At 39.8% G+C, this 8,645-nt stretch overlaps 1 protein-coding gene and 1 long non-coding RNA gene across 16 annotated transcripts in view, besides 3 other annotated features; one reads left to right on the top strand and one right to left on the bottom strand.

Moving 5' to 3' along the window:
• Positions 1,801 to 1,981: a silencer, noted in NCBI's record as "fragment chr19:48763364-48763544 (GRCh37/hg19 assembly coordinates)". NCBI's record gives its function as "represses an EF-1alpha promoter that drives an FKBP-Casp9 reporter gene in an ReSE screen in phorbol 12-myristate 13-acetate-treated (for megakaryocytic differentiation) K562 erythroleukemia cells {active_cell/tissue: K562(+PMA)}" and the evidence as "EXISTENCE:reporter gene assay evidence [ECO:0000049][PMID:32094911]".
• Positions 1,954 to 2,153: an enhancer, noted in NCBI's record as "active region_14875". NCBI's record gives its function as "activates an Ori minimal core promoter by ATAC-STARR-seq in GM12878 lymphoblastoid cells {active_cell/tissue: GM12878}" and the evidence as "EXISTENCE:reporter gene assay evidence [ECO:0000049][PMID:35858748]".
• CARD8-AS1 (CARD8 antisense RNA 1) lies at positions 3,894 to 6,413 on the bottom strand. The gene is made up of 2 exons (NR_040599.1): positions 6,294 to 6,413; positions 3,894 to 5,737 (listed from the first exon to the last, which is right to left on the bottom strand). It is a non-coding gene; the product is annotated as a CARD8 antisense RNA 1 (long non-coding RNA).
• Positions 6,068 to 6,307: an enhancer, noted in NCBI's record as "active region_14874". NCBI's record gives its function as "activates an Ori minimal core promoter by ATAC-STARR-seq in GM12878 lymphoblastoid cells {active_cell/tissue: GM12878}" and the evidence as "EXISTENCE:reporter gene assay evidence [ECO:0000049][PMID:35858748]".
• The window catches only part of CARD8 (caspase recruitment domain family member 8), a 52,799-nt gene continuing 50,295 nt past the window's right edge, over positions 6,142 to 8,645 (top strand). For 14 of the 15 annotated variants that reach the window (NM_001351787.2, NM_001351791.2, NM_001351788.2 and 11 more), the window contains exon 1: positions 6,176 to 6,296. The gene's annotated coding sequence lies outside the window, so the exon portion shown is untranslated. Of the gene's footprint in view, positions 6,297 to 8,645 lie in introns of all 15 variants that reach the window. The other variant, NR_147707.1, reaches the window with a different exon arrangement.

Genomic DNA, 8,645 nt, shown 5'->3' with positions numbered 1-8,645 from the left:
CCATCTCTACTAAAAATACAAAAATTAGCCGGGCATGGTGGTGCACGCCTGTAATTCCAGCTACTCCAGAGGCTGAGATAGGAGAATTGCTTGAACCCAGGAGGCGGAGGTTGCAGTGAGCTGAGATCTTGCCACTGCACTCCAGCCTGGGTGACAGAGTGAGACTCTGTCTTCAGAACAAAAAATAAATAAAAAAAATAGTGTAATACTCTGCCTATTTTTTAAAACGAACTATTTGTATCCAAGGAATGCAACTTAATTTTAATAAATCAAATTGTGTTTAACACTCACCATCATACAGCACTCCACTGTCTCACCATCCTCTCTCTGCAATATTGTTTCAAGCATCTTTAAACAGACAAGTAGGTTTACCATTTCTGGTTGCAGGGAACTAGTGGGTGCACCTCTGAATCACCCACAAGTTGATCTTATCCATAGATCAAGTCTTAACACCATCTTGGAACAAAGCCCTACAATTTTGTTTGTGCGATTACAGTGTGTCCAGCATAGTGTGGCCTCAGACTCTGTGCTGTTTATTTAAGATGCTGAAAAAAAATGCGTGACCAGATCAGTTTCCATACTGAGTTGAGCTCTTCACAATTACTATTAGAGATTTACAGATCAAAACAAGAATTCTGGGCAGATACATCAGGCTCTTGCTGTGACATTGCACGTAATTCTGTCAGTAGACAAGGCTAGAGAGGGTATACTTTTATATTATATTACCACATAAAACAAGCTGTAATTATATCTCTGCTACTGAGCAATGCAAAACCAACTCCTAATAAGCACCATATTAAGACTAACAGTAAAGCTGCTGAATGAAATTCACAATTTCTTTTGTGGTAGTTTTTGTTCTTTGTTTGCATCTCACTATTGTTATATAGTCACGTCATTTTGAAGTTCTTCACAACTTAAGAAGAAAGTGTAACAATTGAATTAATTATTCAAAGTTCACTTTGGTTGCAATATTTTGGTTTGTTTTTATTCTGAGGGAACTGGCCATTTAATATTGGAGAGTTCTAAGTTCTTTTTTGTTTTTTTTAGACGGAGTTTCTCTCTTGTTGCCAAGCTGGAGTGCAATGGCGCGATCTCAGGTTCAAGCAATTCTCCCGTCTCAGCCTCCTGAGTAGCTGGGATTACAGGCATGCGCCACCACACCTGGCTAATTTTGTATTTTTAGTAGAGACAGGGTTTCTCCATGTTGCTCAGGCTGGTCTTGAACTCCCGACCTCAGGTGATCTGCCTGCCTTGGCCTCCCAAAGTTCTGGGATTACAGACGTGAGCCATCGTGCCCAGTCTGAGAGTTCTAAGTTCTTAGAAGGTGGTTGTGTTTACCTACTAAAATTTTATTGGTAGCAATAATCATCTAATGGAAATTCAGAGAAGTGATTTTAAAGATTTGAATTCCAAAACCCTATACAAACGTTTTATTTTACCACCAATGAATTTATCTGCAACACCTGAGTTGTGGGGCGGAAAGCCACCCAGGTGCCGAGGCGAGAGACCGAGGGCACGAGCTGTTCCAGTATAATAAAGAAAATATAGAAAATAAGAATAGTTATACTAGATCTAGATCATAGATATGATTATATATGAATATCATTAATCATTAGTTTGTAGCAATTACCCTTTATTCCAATGTTATAATAATCCTCGCTCTACAATCATAACCTAGGAAAAACCAGGCCATACAGAGATAGGAGCTGAAGGGGCACGGTGAGAAGTGACTAGAAGACGAGAGTGCGAGCCTTCTGTCACACCCAGACATGGCCACTAGAGGGCTCCCTGGTCTAGCGGTAATGCCGGCGTCTGGGAAGGCACCTGTTACTTAGCGGACCTTGGTCTAGCGGTAGCGTCAGTGCCTAGAAAAGGCACCCGTTACTTAGTGGGCCAGGAAAGGGAGTCTCTCTTTCCCCGGGGGAGTTAGAGAAGACTCTGCTCCACCGTCTCTTGTGGAAGGCCTGACATCAGTCAGGCCCGCCCGCAGTTATCCGGAGGCCTAACCGGCTCCCTGTGATGCTGTGCTTCAGCGGTCACGCTCCTGTTTCACTTTCATGTTCCACTCTGTACACCTGGCTCCGCCCTCTAGATAGCAGTAGCAGAATTAGTAAAAGTACTAAAAGTCTCTGAAATGCAGAAATAATGGCATAAGCTGTCTCCTCTCTCTCTCCACCAGGGCTGCCAAACAGGGAGGGGCCCCCTGTCCGGTGGAAACGTGACTCATGTGACCTTATCAATCATTAGAGATGACTCACACTCCTTACCCTGCCCCTTTTGCCTTGTATCCAATAAATATCAGCACAGCCAGGCATTCGGGGCCACTGCTGGTCTCCGCATCTTGGTGGTAGTGGTCCCCCGGGCCCAGTTGTCTTTTCTTCTATTTCTCTGTCTTGTGTCTTTATTTCTACGATCTCTCGTCTCCGCACAACGGGAGAAAGACCCACAGACCCTGTAGGGCTGGCCCCTACACTGAATGTCTGTTTATTTATATGCATAATAATCAACTCACATGTTCCAACTGAACAAACCAAATATTTCTATCCAATTTTCAATAAAAATATAAAAATCTACATATTTCATGTGTTTATGTTTGTTATGTCTCTCACAGCCTGCAACAAATTTAATTTAGCTATCCTCTGAACTACAAGCTTCCCTTTGTTGTAACGAACACTTTTCTTTTACTTAAGTATCGTTATTCCAGAGTTAATATAGTATGCATTCAAATTACTTCTTATTTAGTATTATTTTACCTAGTACCATTATATATTTAATTTTTTCTCATGAAGCCAGGCACAGTGGTTTGTGCCTGTAGTCCCAGCTACTCGGGAGGCTGAAGTGAGAGGATCCCTTGAGCCCAGGAGTTTAAGGTCGCAGTGAGCTATGATGGCACCGCTGCATTCCAGTCTGGGCGACAAAGCAATACCTCATTTCAAGAAACAAAATGGAATCTTTTCCTTATAAGAATCTTAAAGAAGGTGTACATTATCTTGGCTAACTTTCTATAGGATTAAGTGGAAGTTATTGAGACTTGGTCTACAGTCTTCTTTTTTTCATGAGTCAAAAAGCATCTCTCACTTTAGTTACACCTGTATTAGGAGAGTTATGATCAATTACAGCAGTTGTAGTTTCTGAGAACTTGGATAAATACAAACCTGAATTACACAGAATTTATGTAAATCCAGATATTCAAAAATGAGAAATAATGTAATATATGACCAAAGTAATATCAAGACAACATACAATTAAATCACTCAACAATTACTGGGAATATGTATCAAGGCAAGAATTGTAAAATTCTACCTGGTACTTCTGAAATGAACAAGGCAATGAGAAATAACAGTTTATCTTGTCTATTACTGAGTATCAATGAAAGCAATAAGGTGAACGGAAAAGTCCATGCAAACTCCATTTTCAGAATAACGAGGAGACAGATAGAATTCACAGATCCACATGTTTCTCACTGGCTGACAAAACTGTGTTAAGTCAGGGTGAAGCATAGCGGAGGAACAGGGAGGAAGTGCAGAGTGAGAAAACATAAAGAAGTCAGGAAGTGCCAGAAGAGTAATTTCCTGTGAGTAAAGCCTCATACTCGGTGATTTATCGATAGAGTTTGAATACAAGAGCTGTGAGGTCTGGGCAGTTGGAGTGGAGGCTGAGCAGGAGATAAATGTGGTAGAGGCGGTGTGGTTGGGAGATCCTTGAAAACAGAGAAATGCCCTAGTATGGCAGAGTACAGAAATACTACAAAAACTCACTTGTAGAAAGAACATTCTGCATATAATCAGGCATGGAACGGTCCCATGCATTCCATAATAATTAAGAAAAAGATATTGGCAGAGCATTGCTTAAAGGCACTGCAAGAAAATAGGTGAGAAGACCAGTAAGTTTTATTTATTTATTTTATTATTTTATTATTTGTTTTCGAGATGAAGAACAATCAAAGGAAAATGATGGACGGAAATTAACAATCATTCTTGGGCGGGGGGAAAAACTCCACCCACAATTCCTAAGTAAAAAGGGTTACACACATTCTCGGCATAATAAGTCTCTCTCAGGCCAAATGTGTTCATGTGAACACTATGAAGGCATTCCAGCTGAGGTCAGGAAAATACCAAGTATGACCTTCCCTATTTAAGTTAAAATATTGGAAGCTTATTCCAAAATATTGGAATAAATTTGAAATACAGTGATTGAATGGAAGGACATTAAATTATAACTCATTAGACATGTTATTTTACTCTATAGACAAACACAACAAATCACCTGAAATAAGCTATAAAAGATAAACCAGTAAGTTAGAGAAATAATCTTTTTTTTTTTTTGAGATGGAGTCTCCCTCTGTTGCTTAGGCCAGAGTGCAGTGGCGCAGTCTTGGCTCACTGCAACCTCTGCTTCCTGAGTTCTAGTGAGTCTCCTCCTCAGCCTCCCAAGTAGCTGGGATTACAGGCATGTGCCACCATGCCTGGCTAATTTTTTTTGTATTTTTAGTAGAGATGGGGTTTCACCATGTTGGACATGCTGGTCTTGAACTCCTGACCTCAGGTGATCTGCCTGCCTCAGGTTCCCAAGTGCTGGGATTATAGGCTTGAGCCATTGCGCCTGGCCAGAAGAATCTTAATGTACAAAAATGAATAGGTTTTTAATACAACAGACTATCCCAATTCCTTGAAAGAAGAAAATACACCCATTAAAACAGAAACTATGGTGCCTAGAATTAAACTGCACAAAAAACTACATGACCCATATAATTTTTTTATGTTGAAATAATTTTAAACATGCAAAATTAGCAAAGATTCATATAAATCCTCAACCAGCCTATCCTGATGTTAGCTATATATATAATTGTATTATATGTATAATAGTTGTTATATATAAAACTGTATATATACATTTATTGTATTATAATCATATATATACATTTATTGTATTATATATAATATACAACTGTATATGTAATTGTAATATAATAATTATATACATAATAGTATATGTAATACAAGTATCCAACCAGGAAATTGATGTCAACGTATCTTACCATTACCTAATGTGCAGACCTTATTTGAATTTTGTCAATATTTCTCTTAACGTCCTCTTTCTTCTCCAAGATCGAATCGAGGATCTCACATTGCACTCAGTTGTTATGTCCTTAGATTCCTCCAGGCTGTGACCGTTTCTTATTCTTCCCTTGTCTTTTGTGATTGTGACACTTTTGCTGAGCATGGCCAATTATTTTACAGAATGTTTATCAATTTGGATTTCTTTGATGTTTTCTCACGATTAGGCTGAGGTCATGCATGTTTGTCTTCTGTGTTCAGTCAATATGCCCCATCCTTTTTCAAATATTTCTTCATGTTCTGGCGTCAGAATTTGTTCCAATGTTATCTTATATATTCCTGCCCCAGCCCTCGAAGTAACCATTTCTCCACAGATACTTCAAAATAGTATTTAGAAACCAAGGCCGGGCACAGTGGCTCACGCCTGTAATCCCAGCACTTTGGGAGGCCGAGGCGGGCTGATCTCGAGGTCAAGAGACGGAGACCATCCTGACCAACATGGTGAAACTCCGTCTTTACTAAAAATACAAAAAATTAGCCGAGCGTGGTGGCATGCACCTATAATTCCAGCTACTCGGGAGGCTGAGGCAAGAGAATCGCTTGAACCTGGGAGGCAGAGGTTGCAGTGAGCCGAGATTGCTCCATTACACTCCAGCCTGGGTGACAGACGGAGACTTCATCTCAAAAAAAAAAAAAAGTAATATTGATTAAAAATCAAATTGCATGAGAATGCATAGCAGGATACCAAGCAAATACAACTTTTAAATATTACAGAAAATGATATTTAAAATACAAACCAAATACATAAATCATGCAGGCGGATTAAGACGTTTCTGGATAGTGGTAACAGCTGAGAGTGGCTGGATGAATTCCAGAGAAATTTCATATATTGCTTCAATTTTATTTAAAATATACTATTACCTATGTCTTAGATATTTTATTTTAAATAATGAACAAGGATATTATAAACTCTGCAGAAGTAAGTGTAATCGTGTTTTTTTCCTGCCCACATTAAAGATGGCCCAGATGCTTGCACTGACCCCATTGACTGCCCACAGCCATCATGGCGACCGGAAGTCCTGAGAGCTTACTTCCCTCAGTTCTCAGAAAGCCCACCTCCTCTGCGAGCGTTATTTCAAAAGAAGTTGAGAACCAGAGAAACCGACCTAAGGGGATTCTCCCATTTGGCCCGTCCTACCCTAAAGTCACCACCTGCTGCTTTTCTGGAGCGCTTACCAGGTGAGTTTCAGGAGCCCTAGTGTACAGGAAGGAGAAACGGAGGCTTGTTGGTAGGACACCGCCAGGCTGCTCTGTGTTCTGTTCCTCTTAGTCAGCAAGGAAGGAGTACGACAAAGTGAGAAGTTCATATGAGCGTGTCAGAAGGGGAAATAGGGCCCCTCCCTTGTTAAAAACAAAACCCTCTGGAAGCTCGGCATCCTGTCATAACTTAAATTTATGACTTCAGTGACTTGGCTTGGACAGTCTTAATAATCTCTCTCACACTCAATTTGTTTTAATTTCTGTAATAATAATTTTTATACCAATGTTTATGTTGTTAATACTAATAATTTTACACTGTAACTGTATAACTTTAATTATTAGAAGTGTTAACCTAACTAACAAACATATGAAAGCTTCCTAAGGGAAACAATTTTTTTTTCTTTTTGAGATGGAGTCTCGCTCTGTGGCTAGGCTGGAGTACAGTGGCATGATCTTGGCTCACTGCAACCTCTGCCTCCCAGGTTCAAGCGATTCTCGTGCCTCAGTCTCCCAAGTAGCTGGGACTACAGGCGTGCACCACCACATCCAGCTAATTTTTTATTTTTTAGTAGAGACGGGGTTTCACCATGTTGGCCAGGATGGTCTCCGTCTCTTGACCTCGAGATCAGCCCGCCTTGGCCTCCCAAAGTGTTGGGATTACAGGCGTGAGCCACTGCGCCCAGCCGGAAACAATGTTTATTTGGGAATAGAGCATTGCAATTGGGAATAGACATGCCGTATTAAACTATGTGTATATTCAGGGAGATAAAGGAAGACAGAAATGGGGAGGATTGCATATTGTTTTAACAGAATTTTCCTTGGCTACAAAGATCAGTAACAAGGGTGACATTAGTCCTAGGTTGGACCAGCAGTTGCTGGGCAGCATTCCTTGCAGAAATATATATTTTTTTAAGGTTGTGAAGACCTTTATGTAAGGTTGTGGGTTTTGTAGAGTCTTTTTCATCTTCAGGCATGCAAGGATAAGAGCCCTCTCTTCATGGCCTTCCTGGCTCTATTTGTCAGGGTTATCTTAACATAAGTGACTCCATTTTGTTCTGACAACTTTCAGATTTCCCCTTGTGATCAAGAAGTTTCTCTGAAAGCACTCTCCTGCCTCAGCCTCCCGAGTAGCTGCGACTACAGGTGCCCACCACCACACCCAGCTAATTGTTTTTGTGTTTTTAGTAGAGACGGGGTTTCACTATGTTGGCCAGGCTGGTCTCGAACCCCTGACTTGTGATCTGCCCACTTCGGCCTCCCAAAGTGCTGGGATTACAGGGATGAGCCACCGCACCAGGCCTGCATTTCTTTTTTCAAAGAATTACTGTGGCATTTTTTCCAATGTCATTGTGTTCTGTGGTTCTTATCTAGTCTTCACATTTATTTACATAATGAACTTTCAATGATGGATTTCTACAGAATTTTTGTCACTAAGTGGTTGCCTAGAAGTATATATCCTAAGATTGAACATATTGAAATATGAGCTAACTTTTCTCATTCAATTATTGATTACTTAGTTAGTTTATTTATTATTTGGGGGATGGGATCTTGCAATGCTGCCCAGACCAGACTCAAACTCCTGGGCTCAAACTCCTACCTCAGCCTCCCAAGTAGGTGGGATTACAGGCATGTACTACTTCACCTGGCTCAATTATTTATTATTTATAACTCATTGTACATATATTCAGATAACTTAATCTGTGCATTAAACTCTTCCACTTTGTTGATAGTCATTTCTGTGTTTGCTATGTGGCTACATATGTATGCTATGTGTTTCCTCTATGCTTGAGATAGGATGATGGGGATTCTTCAATGGCTGTGTGAGTTGTTATTCTAGGGCACTTAAGTCAAGAATATGAATTGCTTTGGTCAATTTTTTATATCTTTACTGATACTCTGTTATTCTGTTAATTGCTGAAAGACTATTGAACAGATTTCCCACAAGAGTGGAGGATTATTCTATATCTGTTTATCATTCTACCCGTGTATACTATATACATATTGAAAGTGTGAATATGTATACACAAAATTAAAATTGTTATTCTTATTGAAGTGATCTACTTTATACTTAGTAATGCTGTTTAGGTAAAATATATTTTGTCTAATATTATTGGAGGTGCACCTGCTCCCCATTGATTACATTTTTACACAGATAGTCATCTTGCATTCTTTTATTGGAATCTTAATATAACTTCTTTGGGTTTATCCCCTGTAAGATGGAGGGAAATGCTCTTGAAGCCTAATTTGTCTGACATTCATATTGTTGCTCCAGATTCTTTTTAATAACCATGTATATGGTATATCACTGCCACTGTCATATGAGGGGTG

The sequence above is a fragment of the Homo sapiens genome, chromosome 19 (genome assembly GCF_000001405.40).
Source record: "Homo sapiens chromosome 19, GRCh38.p14 Primary Assembly".
In the NCBI taxonomy this organism is placed as follows: domain Eukaryota; kingdom Metazoa; phylum Chordata; class Mammalia; order Primates; family Hominidae; genus Homo; species Homo sapiens.
Note: the sequence above shows the minus strand (reverse complement) of the source record. Positions and strands in the feature narration are given on the sequence as shown.